The sequence below is a fragment of the Homo sapiens genome, chromosome 15, assembly GCF_000001405.40.
Source record: "Homo sapiens chromosome 15, GRCh38.p14 Primary Assembly".
Taxonomy (NCBI): Eukaryota; Metazoa; Chordata; class Mammalia; order Primates; family Hominidae; genus Homo; species Homo sapiens.
This window is the reverse complement of record NC_000015.10, coordinates 49518067-49538045: the sequence shown is the minus strand read 5'-3', so window position 1 is coordinate 49538045 and position 19979 is coordinate 49518067. Positions and strand designations below refer to the sequence as shown.

The window sequence follows — 19979 nt, the reverse complement described above, 5'->3', positions numbered from 1 at the left end:
TTTTTAACAGTACAGTTTTATTAACTAGTACATTAATGTTGTACATTAGATCTTTAGACTAGTTCATCCTACATGTCTGCTCCTTCATAGCCTCTAACCTTTATCATCCCATTCATGCTGTACCCCACCCACCTTGCCTGGTCCCGGTAACCAATATTTTATTCTTTATTTCTGTATCTTTGATTTTTCTTATTTTCCAAATATCAGTGAGATCATGAAATATTTTTATTTATGTGTCTGGCTTATTTCACTGGATTATTCCTTCCAGGTTCTACATTGTGGGGCAAATGGCAGGATCTCCTTTTTTAAAATGCTGAATAATATTCTGTTTTACACATACACCAAAATATTTTTATCCATTCATCAATCAGTAAGCACTTAGGCTGTTTCTATACCTTGGCTATTGTGAGGAATGCTGCAATGAACATGGGAGTGCAGATACCCTTATGATATGGTGATTTCATTTCCTTTGGGTAATATACCCAAAAGTGAGATTGCTGGGTCACATGGTAGTTCTATTTTAAATTTCTTTAGGAACTCTCATACTGTTTTCCTCAATAGCTGCACCAGTCTACATTCTTACCAGTAGTGTACAAGGGTTCTCATTTATGCACACCCTTACCAATTTTTTTAATCTCTTGACTTTTTAATAGCCATTCTATGTGAGGTGATATTCATAGTGGTTTTAATTTGCATTTCCCTAAAAATTAATATTGAGCACCTTTTCATATACTTCTGTGTCTTTTCATATATTTGTATGTCTTCTTTGAAGGAATGTCTATTCAAGTCATTGGCTTATTTATTAATTGGGTTGTTTTCTACTTTGAGTTGTATGAATTCTTTATAAATTATAGATATTACAATTAATAGATAGTAGTAATATTATTTGTCAATATATTTTCCTAATTCATAGGTTGCCATTTCATTTTGTTGATTATTTTCTTTGACGTGCAGAAGACGTTTAGTTTGATGTCATCCCATTTGCTTATTTTTGCTATTGTAGCCCAAGCTATTGGTATGATATCCAAATATTCATCACATATGTCAGTGTCAAGAAGCTATTGCCCTATGTTCTCATTTAGAAGTTTTATGACTTTGTGTCTTACATTTAGGTAGCCTATCCATTTTTTTTGTGGAGTTTCTGAGTGGCATAAAATAAGGGTCCATTTCATCCTTTTGCATGCAGAAATTCAGTTTTCCCAGCACCATTTATTGAAAAAACTATCTTTTCCTCATTGTGTTCTTTTGGTGCCCTTGTCAAAAATTAATTCACCACATATGTTTGTCATTTATTTCTGGGCCCTGTATTCTATACCTCATCTTTATGTCGGTGTTCATGCCAATACCATAGTTTTTAAAAATTATTATTTCTATAGCTTTTTAATATAATTTTAAATCAAGAGGTTTAATGCCTACAACGTTTTTTTCCTCATAATTGCTTTGCCCTCTCAGGATCTTTTGTGGTTCTATACAAATTTTAGAATTGTTTATTCTATTTCTGTGAAGAATGTCATTAAGATTTTGTTAGAGATTGTGTTGACATTGTATATAGGTTTGGGTAGTATGGACATATTAACCATATTGATTCTTCTGATACATAGCATGGGATATCTTTATTGTTGTCTTCTTCAATTTCTTTCTTCAGTGTTTTACAGTGTTCAGTCTGCAGACTTTTTACCTCCTTAGTTAAATTTATTCTTAAATAGTTATTTTTGACCCTCTTATTAAATGGAATTTTTAAATATCTTTTTTGGATAGTCTGTTGTTAATATATAGAAATGTAATTGGTTATTGTATATTGACTTAGTATCCTGTAACTTTGCAGAAATCACTTATCAGTTCTAACTTTTTTGTGAATGCTTTAGGATTTTCTACAGATACTATTATGTCATCTGTAAATACAGATAATTTTATGTATTTCCTTTCCCATTTTCAAGTTTTTTCTTTCTTTTTTCTTTTTTTTTTTTTTTTTTGTCTGATTGCCCTTGCTAGTACTTCCAGCACTGTGTTAAAGAGAAATGCAAAGAGAGAGTATCCTTGTCTTGTACTGGATCTTAGTGGAAAAGTGTTCTGGTTTTTCCAATTGATTATAATGTTAGCCATGGGTTTTGCATAAATGGCCTTCATTATGTTTAGGAACTTTATTTCTACATCTAAACTGTTGAGAGTTTTTATCAAAAGAATGTTGAACTTTATCAAATGCTTTTTTTGCATCAATTAATATGATCATGAGGCTATCATAACTGATTGTGTTGGTATGATGTGTCACACTGATTGAATTGCATTTATTAAACCAGCCTTGCATGCTAGGGATAAAGCCTACTTAGTGATGATGTATAATCTTTTTCATGTGCTTTTAAATTTGGTTTGCTAATATCTTATTAAGGATTTTTACATCATTGTTCATCAGAGAAATTGACCTGTAGTTTTCTTGTAATATCTCTGTCTGGTTTCAGTACGAAGGTGATGCTGATCTCACTAAGTGTGTTTGGGAGTATTCTCTCTAGTTTTATTTCTAGAGTTTAAAGAGTGTTGATATTAATTCTTCTTTATATGTTTGGTGGAATTCACCCATAAAGCCATCTGGTGTTGGGCTCTTCATTGTTGGGAGGTTTTTAATTACCTTTTCAATGTCTTTATTTGTTGTTGGTATGTTCCAGCTTCCTATTTCTTCCTGATTAATATTAATAGGTTGCATTTTTCTAGGTATTTGTCCATTCCATTTAGGTTTTTTCAATTTGATGGCATATAATTATTCATAATAGTCTCATAATTATTTTTATTTCAGAGGTATCTCTTGTAACGTCTCCACTTTCCTTTTTATTGTATTTATTTGAATATTCTCCCTTTTTTTAGTCTAGCTAAAGGTTTGTCCATTTTATTTCCTCAAAAAATGAACTCTTAGTTTTATTGATTTTTAAATGATTTTTCTATTTTCTATTTGCTTTGTTTCTGTTCTGTTTTTTGTTATTTCCTTCCTTCTGCTAACTTTGATTTTAATTTGCTCTTATTATTCTAGTTCCTTAAGGCATAATGTTAGGTTATTTATTTGGGATTTTTTTTCATATAGGCATTCGTTGCTATACATTTCCAACTCAGAACTCCATTTGCTGCATCCCACAGGTTTTAGTATGTCATGTTTCCATTTTCCTTTGTTCCGATTTTTCTTTAACTTCCCTTTTGATTTCTTCTTTGACCCATTGGCCAGGATTACATTGATTTCCAGATGTTTTTTAATTTTCCCACATTCCTCATTATTAACTTGTAGTTTCTGGCCATTGTGGTTGAAAGCAATACTAGATATGATTTCAAACTTCTTGAATTTGTTAAAATTTTTTTTGTGGCCTAACATATGGTCTATCCTAGAGAATGTCCCATTTGCATAAGACAGAAATGTGTGATCTACTGCTGTTGGATGGAATAGTCTGTATATGTCTGTTATCACAGTGCAATCCAGTAATTTCATTATTAATCTTGTCTTCTTAATTTATCCAGTGTTGAAAGCAGAGTGTTAAAGTCTCTTGTTATTATTGTATTGCTATCCATTTCTCATCTCATGTCAAATAATCTTTGGTTTATTTAGGCACTCTGATGTTGGGTGCATATATACTTTTAATTGTTACATCCTCTTGATAAATTGATCCATTTATCATTAAAAAATAATGTTATTTGTCCCTTGTGACAGTTTTTGGCTTAAAGTCTACTTTGTTTTGCTATCATATGAGTGTTCTTGCCAAATTCATGTGGAACCTTATTTCTCAGCATGGTAATATTGAGAGGTGAAACTTTAAGTAGAGTTTATTGGGAGGTGTCTGAATCATTTGGGCTCTACCTGCAGAGGTGACCTGCTCTTGATCTTAAGGTAGTGAGTTCTTGCTCTCATGTACCTGAAATGGTTCTCATGGGAAATGATTACTTCCTGTGAGTGTGTTATGCTATCAAAATAGACTGTTGTAATTATAATAGGATTTATGTAAGTCACATGGTAACTACAAAGTAAAAACCTACAGTAGACCCACGAAAGATAGACAGAAAGGAAGCAAATTACACAGCCAGAGAAAATAATAAAATCACAAAGGAAGACAGCAAGAAAGTAATAAATGAGCAAAGGATCTACAAAACAACCAGAAAACGAAAAACAAAATGGTAGGAGTAAGTCCTTACGTTTCAATTACATTGAATTTAAATGGATTACAATCTCCAATCAAAAGATAGAGAGGGGCTGAATGGATTAAAAAACAACACCCAACTATATGCTGCCTACAAGAGACTTATTTCAGCTTTGAGGTTGCACTTAGAAAGTGACAAGAGGAAAACAGATAATCCATGCAAATGATAATAAAAGAGAGTGAGAAAAGCTCTACTTCTATCAGATAAAATGGACATTAAAACAAAAACTTAAAAAAGGAGACAAAGAGGTTATTCATATAATAATAAAGCAGTCAATTCATAAAGAGGATATAACAATAGTAAATATATATGCACTAGATGTTGGAGCACCTAAATATATAAAGCAAATATTAACAGAACTGAGGGAAGAAGTAGACTACAAAGCAATAATAATAGGAGACTATAAGACCCTATTTTCAAAAATTGATAGATTTCTACAGAGAAAACTAGTAGGGAAACAAAGGACTTGACAACACTGAAGACAAAATGGACCTAACAGACATATACAGAACATTCCATCCAAAGCAGCAGAATGCACATTTTTCTCACATGCACACAAAACATTTTCCAGGATAGATCATATGTTGGGCCACAAAACAAGTCTTAACCACTTTAAGAAGGCTAAAATCATATCAAGCATCTCTTCTGACCACGATGACATGAAATTAAAAATCAGTAATAGGAAGAGGAAAATTTATAAATATATAGAAACTGAACACCCATTGGGTCAAGAAAGAAATCAAAAGGAAAATCAAAATATCTTGAGGAAAAAATGAAAATGGAAGCAACATATCAAAACTTATGGGATACAACAAAAGCAATTGGAGGATGTGCCATTGATGGAGCAGTGTGGGGGGGACACACAAAAATGTGCACCACAAACTGTTTTAAACATAAAAAGTTTAGGGAGTTTTAGTCACACGAGCCTTTCTTAAGGACTTACAAGTGGCCATATGCTAGCCAATTAAAATATGAAAAAGATTGTATGGTTTCTACCTACAAATATTTGTAAAGATAAATGTAAATATTTTGGTGAATGAGCATAAGTAGTTTTTTCTTCTTATTTAACTTTGTAGTTAGAGCTGTGTGACTCTATGATCTTAGAAAAATCACATCATTTTCTTCATCTGTTTACTTTGTAAAGTTGTTCTGATTAAACAATAAAATGGTTTTTTGAGAATTCTAATATTTTAATAATATTGTTGAATATTAATTACGATTATAATTGGAAAAATTCTGTAAATGCTCTTTTTTAAGAAGATATGGCATACTTGATGCTTTTTGCGTTATTCTGAAGCAATTTTCATTCCCGTTTTCTCTAGACTATTTTGTCTAATTTTCCACCAAAGAAACAATTATTTTATTTGCAATTTTTACTTGACAAAAATATTTGTCATTAATTTTGCTTGTATTGTCATTACTTTCTCTCAGTCTTTTTAAATGATTGTTTGCTGTTCTTTTTTAACTTACAGAGCTGAAAGTTTTGTACATTATTTTCATATTTATTGCTTAGTAATAAAAGAATCAAGGCTATGAGTTTCCCCTGAGTAAACCTTTATTTATATCTCATGATGTTTAACTATAATTTTTTTCACCACAGGCTTTCTTCATTATATGATTCTAATCCCTAAAAATGTTTCAAATAGCAAATTTTCAAATAGTGGCAACTGACATTTGATAATTTAATTGAGAGGAACATCAGTGTGCTCCCAAGCCATTCAAAAACCCCAACCAGCTTCCCTAAATATCTGTTATCATTTATCTATTATATATAGATAATCCCTTAAATATCTATATAATATTATGTATATTTTATATATAGATATTCCCTTAAATAGCTATATAATATTACGTATATTATATATAGATATTCCCTTAAATAGCTATATAGTAACCCACCAAGGATTTCTTCATAAGTCATTTAATAGACAAAGTAACTACCTGTTTATCTAGTAACAAACTTATTAATGGATATGTTTTTTGGCAGTATTCAACAACAATGTACAATAATGGCCACAAATTATATTTGCCTTCTTAAGGAAATGAATAAGTGCTGAAATGTAAATGAACAATGAAATATGTAGTAAACATATTGAATATATTATCTAAATTGTGCCAGGGTTGCACGTTCTCTCAGGCGTTTGGCAGAGAGAAACACTGGGCCTCTTGGAGGACTAAACCCACAGTCTAAAGACAGGGAAGATGATGGGAGTAATGCACAATGCTTTTAAACAACAAAAGCATGAGACATGATCCTTTCTGGAAAATAGCTGATGTACAAGTGCAGCATTAGCTGTATCTTCTCACCTAGGCTCCCAAGAAATCTAAACATTTTCACAATGAATGAGATATTTTGTGTTTTTATATTCAGAAATGGAATTTTGATTTTAAATATTTGCAAGTTGTTATAGAGAATATTTGAATCTTGAAGAATTCTGATAGAGATATCTTATTTCCCTACACTTTAAACATTTTATTACTGATTTTTAAATTTTTCTATGATTATTTGTTTTTAACATTATTTTATTGAAATCTAATATACATCCAGTACATTACACAAATCTGTAGGGTGTGCCTTGATACATAGTATATAATATATATAAGCATACACAATACATAATATATGTACACAGACATATATACATGAAATCAACATACACATCAAGGTATGGAACATTTCCAGCATGTAGTTGCAATTTTGGTTTGTATTTTTACCTAAGAATATTTCAAAATAGTGCTTTTTAGTGGCAAAGAATTTCATGTTTATAATTTAATTATTAGTTTAAACTTTTTTATATTATCTTAAACACTGTGGCCTGTGTATTATCCTTGTATTTTAGAATGTGTTGAGTTGTTGTCATGTAATAATGCATAGTAAAACATTATAAATGGAATCTAATGACTTGAAAACAAAAGAATATTCTCTGTTGGAAATAGGATTCTATGTATTATATTTGTGATTCTATAGAATGCTGTACACTTGTGCTTCTGTAGGGTTTTCTTTATATTTCTTTATATTTACAGTAGTTTTAATATGTGTTGCACTTTTAATTAATAAAAATATATTTTCTTCTATTAAAACTCAAATGAGTTTACAAATAAGGGAAATATTCTTTTTTGTCTAACATATATCTTACTTGAACAGTTTAGATACATTTGTTACTCTTCTTTTTACAATAAATAGTTTTTGGTATTTTAGCTACTAATAATTTAATATTGGAGCAATTTTAGAGATACATACAATTCAATTTTTTCTAGCCTTTCATTGTAGTTCTATTACAACAGAGGCAAAGAAATTGATTTCACTTTTACCCAATGGTATCTCAAAAAATGTTAACTTTTTTTTCTTGCAGAAAGAATCTCTTAGTCATTTGCCATAACTATTTTGATATCTTCAGATTAATTCTACCAGTCATAACCTTATAAAACTTCCTGAAACAAGATCAGTTTTTGTTTACTTTAGTTAGAACTACCTATTCTGATATTTAAGTAGTATAGAGCATTTATGTTAGTGTTCTTGCTAGGCAGTTTGTGTGTGGAATGATTTTATTGATGCTGTGAAGTATGCTTTGAAAGACCCATAGGAGTGGCCTAAAGTAAACATTCCAAACTGAATTTACCACAGGATTTCAAAACCATTCTGTGTGAATCTCCTGGATAATTGATATTGCCTCATCTTCATCTGTTACATATATTGTTTTCTAAATACGTAATAGGAATCAATTAAAAGCATAATAATTGCAAAAAAGCATTAAAATTGTATTTGTAGATGATATGATATATCCATGGAAAACTCTAGACAGTCAATAGTAAAACTAATTTGAACAAAAGGGTTTCAAAGATAGCCACATATAAAAACTTAAGGGCAAATGATTAAACAAACTATGGTGCATCTGTGCCATGGAAAACTACTCAGCAATAAAAAGGGAATGGATTATAGATATATGAAATGACTTGGATAAGTCTCTAAAGAATTATGCTGAGTGAATAAAGTCAATCCCAAAAGTTCATATACTATTTGATTTCATTTATATAACAATCTTCAAGTTACAAAATTACAGAAATTGGGAAAAGATTAGTGCTAGCCAAGATTTAGAGATGAGAGAAGAAACTGGGAAGGAAAAAGAGTAGATGTGACTATAAGCAAGCAATTTGAGAGATACTTGTGATGGATCTGTTCTGTATCTTGACTCTATCAATGTCTGTATCCTAGTGTGATATTGCACTATAGTTTTACAAGGTGTTACCATTGTGGGAAACTGGGTGAAAAGTACAGAGTATCTCCTTGTATTATTTCTTGCAACTCTATGTACATCTACAATTATCTCAAGTAAGAAGTTTAATTTAAAAAAATCAAACCTACATTTTCTTTTGTGTGTATGTTTATTTTTAGATTATTTTAGATTATTTTTGATGCAGGTACATGTGCAGGTTTGTTACATAGATATATTGTGCAATGGTGATATTTGGGCTTCTAGTAAACCTATCACCCAAATAGTAAACACAGTACCCAATAGTTCATTTTTTAACTCTGACCCTCCTCTCAACCTCCCCTCTTTTGGAGTCCTCAGTGTCTTTTTTTTAATCTTTATATCCATGTGTACCCATTGTTTAGTTCCCACTTATGAGAATATATGGTATTTGGTTTTCAGCTTCTGAGTTATTTCTCATAGAATAATGACATCCAGCTCCATCCATATTGCTGCAGAAACATGATTGTATTCCCTTTTATGGCTGCATAGTATTCCTTGGTGTATATATTCCATATTTTCTTTATCTGATCATCCATTGATAGACACTTAGGTTTATTCCAAGACTTTGCTATTGTGAATAGTGTTGTGATAAACATATGAGTGCAGGTGTCTTTTTTTGTATAGTGATTTGCTTTCCTTTGGGTTTATACCCAGTAGTAGGACTGCTGGGTTCAATGGTAGTTTTATTTTTAATTCTTTGAGAAATCTCCATGCTTTTTCCCATAGGAGTTACTGTATTATACATTCCCATAAATGGTGTGTAAGTTACCTTTTCTCCACATCCTCACCAGTATCTGTTATTTTTGACTTTTTGATAATAGCCATTCTGATTGGTTTGAGATGGTATCTCATTGTGGTTTTAATGTGCTTCTCTGATAATCAGTGATGTTGAGCATTTTTTCTTATGTTTGTTGGTTGCTTTTATATTTTCTTTTGAGAAATGTCTGTTCATATCCTTTGCCCACTTTTTAATGGAGTGTTTTTCTCTTGTTGTTTGTAGATTGTGAAAATTAGTCCTTTGTCAGAGGCACAATTTGCAAATACTTTTTCTCATTCTGTAGATTGTCTGTTTACTCTGTTTATTATTTCTTTTGCTGTGCAGACGGTTTTTAGGTTACGTCTCACTGGTCTGTTTTGTTTCCATTACATTTGCCTTTGAAGTCTTAGTCATAAATTCTTTGCCCAAGACAATGTCAAGAAGAATTCTTCCTAGTTTTTTTTTCTGGAATTATTTTATAGTTTCAGTTCTTATATTTCAGTCTCTCATCTATCTTAGGTTAATTTTTGCATACGATGAGAGATAGGGGTCCAGTTTCGTTTTCTGCATATGGCTATCCAGTTTTCCCAGCACCATTTATTGAATAGGTGTTCTTTCTCTATTGTTTACTTTTGTTGACTTAGTCAAAGATCAATTGGTTGCAGATATGTGGGTTTATTTATAGGTTCTCTATTTTGCTTCATTGATCTATGTGTCTATTGTACCAGCACTATGTTATTTGGGTTACTATAGCTTTGTAGTTTAACTTGAAGTCATGTGATGTGATACCTCCAACTTTGTTGTTTTTGCTGAATTGCTTTGGATACACAGGCATTTTTTGATTCCATATTAATTTTAGGGTTGTTTTTTCTAATCCTGTCAAAAAAAGACATTAGTAATTTGATAGGAATTGCATTGAATCAGTAGATTGTTTTGGGCATCATGGTCATTTTAATGATATTGATTCTTACAACCCGTAAATATGGGATCTTTTTTGATTCATTTGTGTCTTCTGAGATTTCTTTCATCAGTGTTATGTAGTTCTCTTTGTAGAGATCTTTCACTTTCTTAGTTAAATGTATTCCTAGGTATTTAATTTTTGTGTATATGTCTGTTGTAAATGGGACTGAGTTTTGGTTTGGTTTTAGCTTGAACATTATCAGTGTGTAGAAATGCTACTGATTTCTGTACACTGTTTTATTTCCTGAAACTTTACTGAAATAATTTATTAAATCTGTGAGTCTTTTGGAGGAATACTTAAAGTTTTCTAGGTAAAAGATCATGTCATAGCAAACAAATAATTTGACCTTTTTTCCAATTTGGGTGTCTTCTATTATTTCTCGCTTGCCTGAGTTTTCTGGACAAATTTACAGTACAGTGTTGAATAGGAGTGGTAAGAGCATGCATACATGTCTTATTTTGGTTCTCATGGGGAATGTTTCCAGCTTTTTCCCATTTAGTATGATGTTGGCTGTGTGTTTGATGGTTCTTACTATTTTGAGGTATGGTTCCTTTGATGACTGAAGGGATGTTGGATTTTGTTGAATGCTTATTCTGCATATATTGAGATGATTGGATGGTTTTTGTTTTTAATTCTGTTTATATAATATATCACATTATTGATTTTCATATCTTGAGCCATCCTTACATCCCTGGAATAAAACCCACTTGACCGTGATGCATTATCTTTTTGGATGTGCTGTTGGAATCAGTTTGCTGGTTGTTTTTTTGAAAATTTTTACATCCGTGTTCATCAGAAATATTGAACTGTAGTTTTCTTTTTTATGGTGTCCTTACCTGATTTTGGTACTGGGTGATACTGGTTTTGTAGAATCAGTTAGATGAGATTCCCTCCTCCTTGATGTTTTGGAGTAGTTTCAATAAGATTGAAACTAGCTCTTCTTTGAACATCTGGTAACATTTGACTGTGAATTTGTCTGGTCCTGGACTTTTTTGTTGTTTTTTTAATTGATTCAATTTTATTACTCCTACTTGATCTGTTCAGAATTTCTATTTCTTCCTGGTTCAATCATGGGAGGTTGTATATTCCACAAAATTTATCCATTTCTTCTAGGTTTTCTAGTTTGTACACATAGAGATGTTCAAAATAGTCTCTGATGATCCTTTGTATTTCTCTGATATCAGTGGTAAGTCAGTTTTACCATTTCTGACTGTGCTTATTTGAATCTTCTTTCTTTTTTGCTTGGCAAATCTACCTAATGGTCTATCAATCTTGTTTCTCCTTTCAAATAACCAACTTTTCATTTCATTAATGTTTTGTATCACTTTCTTAATCTCAATTACATTCACTTCTGCTCTTATCTTTGTTATTTATTTTCTTCTTGTAGCTTTGGGTTTAGTTTGTTCTTGTTTTTCTAGTTCCTTGGGGTAAATGTTAGGTTGTTAATTTGAGATCTCGATATTTTTGATGTTGGCATTTAACACTGTAAACTTTACTCTCAGCACAGATTTTACCATATCTTAGATGTTTTGGTATATTATGTGTCTGCTTCATTGATTTCAAAATTTTTTTATTGCTGCCCAAATTTCATTTTTTACCCAAAAGTCCTTCAGGAGCAAGTTGTTTCGTTTCCCTGTACTTGTGTAACTTTGAGAGTTCATTTTAGGATTGATTTTTAATTTTATTCCACTGTGGTCTGATAAGATACTTGATACAATTTCAGTTTTCGAAATTTATTGAGACTTGCTTTATTGCTAAGCATCTGGTCAGTTTTGGAGAATGTTCCATATGCTGATGAGAAAAATGTTTCTTTTGCAATTGTTGGGTAGAATCTTCTTTAAATGTCTATTAGGTTCGTTTGGTCTAGAGTCCAGTTTAAGTCCAGAGTTCCTTTCTTGATTTTCTACCTTGATGGTATCTAGGTCTGTCAGTGGGGTGTTGAAGTCCTCCACTATTACTGTATTGCTGTCCATCTCTTTTCTAAGGTTTATTATTCTTTGTTTTATGAATCTTTGTGCTCCATTGTTGGCTTCATATATATTTAAGATCGTTAAATCTTGTTGAATTGAACCCTTCAATATCATATGATATCCTTCTTTGTCTTTTTTTTTACCATTGTTGTTTTAAAGTCTGCTTTATTTGATGTAAGAGTACTACTCCTGTTCATTTTTGTGCTCTGTTTGTGATATATATATATATATATATATATATATATATATATATATATATATATATATATTTCTCCACCCTTTAACTTTGAGTCTCTAGGTATCTGTACACATTTGATGGGTCTGTTATAGGCAGGTCCTGTAGAACTGGTCTAATGGTGACAAATTACTTTAGTGTTTTATTTCTCCTTCATTTAGGAAGCTCGATTTTGCAGCATATAAAATGATTGGCTGGTTTATTAGTCTGTTTTCATGCTGCCAATAAAGACATATCCAAGATTGGGTAATTCATACAGGAAAAAGGTTTAATGTACTTAAGTTTAATGGACTTACAGTTCCATATGGCTGTGGAGGCCTCACAATCATGGCAGAAGGCAAGGAGGAACAAGTCATGTCTTACATGGATGGCAGCAGGCGAAGAGAGAACTTTGCAGGGAAACTCCCATTTTTAAAACCATCAGATCTCATGAGACTTATTCACTATCCCAAGAACATCAGGGAAAAACCTGCCCCCATGATTCAATTACCTCCCACTGGGTCCCTCCCATAACATGTGGGAATTCAAGATGAGATTTGGGTGGGGACACAGCCAAGCCATATCATTTTACCCCGATTCCCTCCCAAATCTCATGTCCTCACATTTCAAAACCAATAATGCCTTCCCAACAGTCCCTCAAAGTCTTAACTCATTTCAGCATTAACTCAAAAGTCCACAATCCAAAGTCTCATCTGAGACAAGGCAAGCCCCTTCTGCCTATGAGCCTGTGAAATCAAAAGCAAGTTAGTTACTTCCTAGATACAATTAGAGTACAGGCGTTGGGTAAATACAGCCATTCCAAATGGGAGAAATTGGCCAAAACAAAGGGGCCACGGACCCCATGCAAGTCTGAAATCTGGTGGGGGAGTCAAATCTCAAAGCTCCAAAATGATCTCCTTTGACTCCATGTCTCACATCCAGGTCACACTGATGCAAGAGGTGGACTTCCACAGGCTTGGGCAGTTCCATACCTGTGGCTTTGCAGGGTATATCCCTCCTCCAGGCTGCTTTCACCAGCTGGCGTTGAGTGTCTGTGGCTTTTCCAGGTGCACAGTGAAGGCTGTCAGTGGATCTACCATTCTGGGGACTGGAGAGCAGTGGCCATCTTCTCACAGATCCACTAGGCAGTGCCCCAATAGGGACTCTGTGGGGGCTCTGACCCCACATTTTCCTTCTGCACTGCCCTAGCAGAGATTCTCCATGAGGGTCCCTCCCGTGCAGCAAACTTCTGCCTGGGTATCGAGGCATTTCCATACATCCTATGAAATCTAGGCGGACGTTCCCAAACCTCAATTCTTGACTTCTGTGCACCTGCAGGCTCAACACCACATGGAGGCTGCCAAGGCTTGGGGCTTCCACCCCCTGAACAAACCACTCGAGCCCCTTTTAGCTATGACTGGAGTGGCTGGAACACAGGAAACCAAGTCCCTAGGCTGCACAGAGCAGGGAGCCCTGGGCCCAGCTGACAAAACCATCTTTCCCTTCTAGGCCTCCAAGCCTGTGATGGGAGGGGCTGCCATGAAGACCTCTGACATGCCCTGATGACATTTTCCCCATTCTGTTGGGGATTAACATTCAGCTCTTCATTACTTATGCAAATTTTGCAGCTGCCTTGAATTTCTCCTCAGAAAATGGGATTTTCGTTTCTGTCGCATAATCAGGCTGCAATTTTTTTTATCTTTTGTGCTCTGTTTCCCTTTAAAACTGAATGCTTTTAACAGCATCCAAGTCACATCTTGAATGCTTTGCTGCTTAGAAATTTCTTCTGCCAAATAACCTAAATCATCTCTCTCAAGTTCGAAGTTCCACAGATCTCTAGGGCAGGGCCTAAATGCCACCAGTCTCTTTGCTAAAATATAACAAGAGTCACCTTTGCTCCAGTTTCCAACAAGTTCTTCATCTCCATCTGAGACCACTTCAGACTGGATTTCATTGTCCATATCACTATTAGCATAAAAATGCTGATAGTGAAAGCCATTCAACAAATTTCTAGGAAGTTCCAAACTTCCTCACATCTTCCTGTCTTCTGGGCCCTCCAAATTGTTCCAACCTCTGCCTGTTACCCAGTTCCAAAGTCTCTTCCACATTTTTTGGTATCTTTTTAGCAGCACCCCACTATACCGGTACCAATTTACTGAATTAGTCTGCTTTTGTGCTGCTAATAAAGACATACACGAGACTGGGTAATTTATACAGGAAAAAGATTTAATGGACTTAGGGTTCCACATGGCTGGGGAGGCCTCACAATCGTGGTGGAAGGCAGGGAGAAGCAAGTCATTTCTTACATGGATGGCAGCAGGCAAAGAGAGAGCTTGTGCGGGGAAACTCCCATTTTTTAAATTATCAGATCTTGTGAGACTTATTCACCATCCCAAGAACAGCAGGGAAAAACCTACCATCATGATTCAATTACTTCCCACTGCAACCCTCCTGCAACATGTGGGCATTGAAGATGAGATTTGGGTGGGGACACAGCCAAACCATATCAGCTGGCTTTTTGTTTTCTTTAAGAAGACTAACCCTAGGCTCACTCTTCTAGCATCTCTTCTAGCTTCAAGGTTTCTGCTTAGAAGTCTGCTGTTAGTCTGATGAGATTTTCTTTATAGCTGATTTGCTACTTCTCTACATCTGCTCTTAAGATTTTTTCTTTCACATTGAAGAGAGTAAAAGAAAGAGAGTCTGAGTACTGTATGGAGAGTAGAGATGGAGAGTCTGATTACTGTATGCTTTAGTGAAGCTTGTTTTGTATAGAATCTCCCAGGTGTCCTTGAATTTCTTGTATTTGGATGTGTTCATCTCTAGCAAGATCAGGGAAATTTTCCTGAATTATTCCCTCAAATATGTTTTCAAATTCCTTTTTCTTCTTCTGCCTCAGAAATGTCTATAAGTCATAGGTTTGGTTGCTTTACGTAATCCCATATCTCTTAAAGACTTCTTTCATTTTAAAAAATTCTTTCTTTTTTTAATTTTTGTATGACTGAGTTAATTTGAAAGACTAGTTTTCAAGCTCTGAAATTTTTTTCTTCTACTTGGTCTAGTCTATTGTTAAAGCTTTAAACTGTATTTTGAAATTCTTTCAGAGAGTTTTTTATTTTTAGAAGTTCTGTTGGTTCCTTAAAATATATCGATTTCATCTTTCATATTCTGAATTTTTTATCTGTGTTGTTTTTCAACTTTGTCTTGGGTCTTATTGAGCTTCCTTACAATCCATATTTTGAATTCTTTATGTGTCATTTTAGAATTTTCATTTGGTTCATATCCATTGCTAGAGAAATGACTGTGATTCCTTTGGGGATGTCAAAACACTCTGTCTTATTTGCTTCCAGAGTTTTTGCACAGAATCCTTCTCAACTGAAGAAGCTATCACTTCTTATTTTTAAATTTGCTATCATTTAGATGGGACTTCTAAATTTTTTATTCTTTTCTCCTTTGTGTTTCTGACTGTAGTGTATGTTGTGTATGATCATTTTGGTTTGTTCCTGGGTGATCTCCAGGGGCTAAGACACTGTTACGGGTTCCTTGCTTATAGATAGCTTTTGGACATGATTTTCTCAAATGGCTCCTGTTGTAGCTGTGTATTGGGTGTATGAACTGACTCACTGTCTTCTGTGTGGCTGAGAGTGTGGATGTCTTAGGAAGCTTATCTCCTGCCCTAGCATGGTGTGCTTCAGCAGGTTATTTGGTGGTGCAGTTCAGTTCCCAGTACAGTAGGTGGTGCTTAAGACTGGAAGCCAGATCACCCTCCAGTATCTTGATAATGAGTGGAAATGCCGCCCTGATAGGGGTGGTGGAGGGAGTTCATGGTTGAATGTGCTGAGGTCTGGGGTGGAGAAATGGCGTGGGGGCTGCACCATCTCCTCATCTTTGGCAGGTAGAAATATAATTTGCTTTCCTATCATGCCCCTGTCATAGGGCTTGCAAGCTTCAGTTAAAATAGATTCTGTTCTTTATCTGGAGACCACGATGTGACTAGGTCCATGGAAAACACCCATCTGGTAGCTACCAAAATGGCCTGGGGAAGAAACTCTCTCCCCAGCTCCAAACAGCTCTGCAGCTGGTCTGCACTCTTTTGCAGGAAGGGGAGATAAGCCCTCCCTTTGTGCAAGCTCAGGTGGCAGCAGGCACACTTTCAGGGAGGTGTAACTGAACACAAATAGCATAGGAAAGGCTGTCTCCAAGTTTGTTTGCTTTAGTTCCCAGTGGGGAAAGCCTTGGCTATGTCCACAGCTGTAGACAAGGGGAGTAAGAGATGAACCCCCTCCATGTCCATTGTCAGCCACTAGTTGCTGCCCTTTTGCTAGGCAGAACAACATTGCCCCTTTCAGAGATCACCACACACCCATGTTTCCTTTGTTTCAAAGGGCACTTTAATGGGCTGCACTGCCCCTTTTCCTTGGGGCAGCCCATGCTAAGGGCTAGGTCTCCAGGAATCCCACAGCTCCCTAGCGTCTGGCTGGTCCCCTGTGATTGCCAAAGTCAGAGTGTGTTCCAGAGCATGTTTCCAGATGATCTGGTGATGCAACAACACAGGGCTAAGATTCCCTGGATGAGACAGTGTCCCATAACAAGTGTACAAGCAGTATGGCACCCACCACCTCAATTCAGGTTTGAGGGGAGCGTGAACACACATGCACAATCTGGCTGCCCTGTGCTGTACCCCCAGGAAGTTCCCATATCACTTCCAACAGCATTGCTTGTGCTCACAAGGGAAGAGGGACTCTGACAATTCAGTGGTCAGTAGTCTGTCTTGGGGTGAGGGGAGCAAAGAAATATTTCCACCTATCCTTTCACTGGGACTTCAAGTTCTCCAGGCATCAATCTCTACCAGACTCTTGCTGTCTTCCTTTCCTGTGGCCCAGCTTCTTCCTGGGGGTTTGATATGGTTTGGCTGTGTCCCCACGCAAATCTCATCTTGAACTGTAGCTTCCATGTGTCATGGAAGGGACTTGATGGGAGGTAATTGAATCATGGGGATGAGTTTTTCCCACGCTGTTCTCATGATAGTAAATAAGTCTCACAAGATCTGATGGTTTTATAAAGGGCAGCTCCGCCTGCACATGCTCTCTCTTGCCAGCCACCATGTAAGATGTGCCTTTGCTCTCCTTTGCTTTCCACCATGATTGTGAGGTCTCCCTGGCTATGTGAAACTGTGAGTTTAATTACACCTCCTTTTTCTTTATAATTTACCCAGTCTTAGGTATTTCTTCACAGCAGTATGATAACAGACTAATACAGTAAATTGGCACCAGGAGAGCAGGGTACTATTAAGATACGCAAAAATGTGGAAGCAACTTTGGAACAGGATAACAGGCAGAGAGGTTGAAACAGTTTGGAGGGCTCAGAAGAAAACATAAACATGTGGAAAAGTTTGGAACTTCCTGGAGACTTGGAGGGCTCAGAAGACAGGAAGATGTGGGAAAGTTTGGAACTTCCTAGAGATTTGTTGAATGGCTTTAACTGTCAGCATTTTGATGCTGATAGTGATATGGACAATAAAGTCCAGGATGAAGTGGTGTCAGACGGAGATGAGGAATTTATTGGAAACTGGAGCAAAAGTGTTCCTTGCTACTCTTTAGCAAAGAGACTAATGGCATTTTCCCCCTACCTTAGAGATCTGTGGAACTTTGAACTTGAGAGAGATGATTTAGAGTATCTAGCAGAAGAAATTTCTAAGCAGCAAAGCATTCAAGATGTGACTTGGGTGCTCTTAAAAGCATTCAGCTTTATGTATTCACAAATATATGGTTTGGAATTGGAATTTATGTTTAAAAGGGAAGCCAAGCATAAAAGTTCAGAAAATTTGCAGCCCAATAATGCGACGGAAAAGAAAAGCCCATTTTCTGAGGAGAAATTCAAACCAGCTGCAGAAATTTGCATAAGTAATGAGGAGCCAACTGTTAATTGCTAAGACAATGGGGAAAATATCTCCAGGGCATGTCAGAGGTCTTCACAGCAGCCCCTCTCATCACAAGCTGAGGCCTAGGAAGAAAAAGTGGTTTTGTGGGCTGGGTCCAGGGCCTTGCTGCTTTGTGCAGTCTTGGGACTTGGTGCCCTGTGTCCCAGCCATGGATGAAATGGAGCCAAAATACAATGTACAGATCAGGACATTGCTTCAGAGGGTGCAAGCCTCGGTGGCTTACACATGGTGTTGAGCCTGAGGGTGCACAGAAGTTAAGCATTGGGGTTTGGTACCTTCTGCCTAGAAATTAGAGGATGTATGGAAATGCCTGGATATCCAGGCAGAGGTGTGCTGCAGGGGTGGAACCCTCATGGAGAACCTCTGCAAGGGCAGTGTGAAAGGGAAATGTGGGGTGAGAGTCCCCACATAGAGTCCCCACGGGGGTACTGCCTAGTGGAGCTGTGAGAAGAGGGCCACTGTCCTCTAGACCCCAGAATTGTAGCTCCACTGACAGCTTGCACCATGTGCCTGTAAAAGCCACAGACACTCAATGCCAACCCATGAAAGCAGCCAAGAGGGAAGCTGTACCCTGCAAAGCCACAGGGGTGGAGCTGCCCAAGGCCATGGGAGCCCATCTCTTGCATCAGCATGATGTAGATGTGAGACATGGAGTCGTAGGAGATCATTTTGAAGCTTTAAGATTTGACTGCTCTGCTGGATTTCAGACTTGCATGGGGCCTGTAGCCCCTTCACTTTGGCCAACTTCTCCCATTTGGAACAGGTGTATTTACCAAATGCCTGTACCCGCATTTTATCTAGGAAGTAATTAAGTTGCTTTTGATATTACAAGCTCATAGTCAGAAGAGACTTGCTTTGTCTCAGATGAGATTTTGGACTGTAGACTTTTGAGTTAATGGTGGAATGAGTTGAGACTTTGGGGGACTGTTGCAAGGGCATGATTGTATTTTGAAATGTCAGGACATGAGTTTTGGGAGGGGCCAGGCATGGAATGATATGGTTTGGCTGTGTCCCCCACCCAAATCTCATCTTGAATTGTAGCACATAATCCCCATGTGTTATGGGAGGGACCCAGTGGAAAATAATTGAATCATGGGAGTGTTTTTTTTTCCATGCTGTTCTCATGATAGTGAATAAGTCTCCTGAGATCTGAAGGTTTTATAAAGGGCTGTTCCCCTGAACGTGATCATTCTTGCCTGCTGCCAGGTAAGACCTAGTTTTGCTCCTCCTTTGCCTTCTGCCATGATTGTGCGGCCTCCCCAGCCGTGTGAAACTGTGAGTCCATTAAACCTCTTTTTTCTTGATAAATTACCCAGTCTGGGGTATTTTCTTCATAGCAGTATGAAATTGAACTAATACAGTGTTCTCCCAACAGTTTTGAGCATAATTCCCTTAGCTTTTCACTCAGGTCATGACCATCAACCTGTAACTTTAATCTTTCTGAGGAGTACTGGCATTCAACCACCATAGGCAGCCATCTTAAAATCCTATAAAAACACAGACCTATATTTTTTAAGATAAAAGATAACCATGCTGGTGAGAGTGCAGGTTAATACAATAATTTTGGACAACTGCCAATATCTACTAAAGCTGAGCATATGCATACTTTTGTCACAGAATATGTATGACTTCCAGGTACATGCCCTATAGAAATGTGCACATTTCTGTACACGGAAAAAAGAGCAAAATGTTCATATCAGGCCTGTCTATAATCAT

At 36.0% G+C, this 19979-nt stretch overlaps 1 protein-coding gene across 28 annotated transcripts in view; it reads left to right on the top strand.

Moving 5' to 3' along the window:
- FAM227B (family with sequence similarity 227 member B) overlaps nucleotides 1-19979 on the top strand; it is a 293849-nt gene that overhangs the window by 82773 nt on the left and 191097 nt on the right. The gene's annotated exons all lie outside the window — the stretch shown is intronic.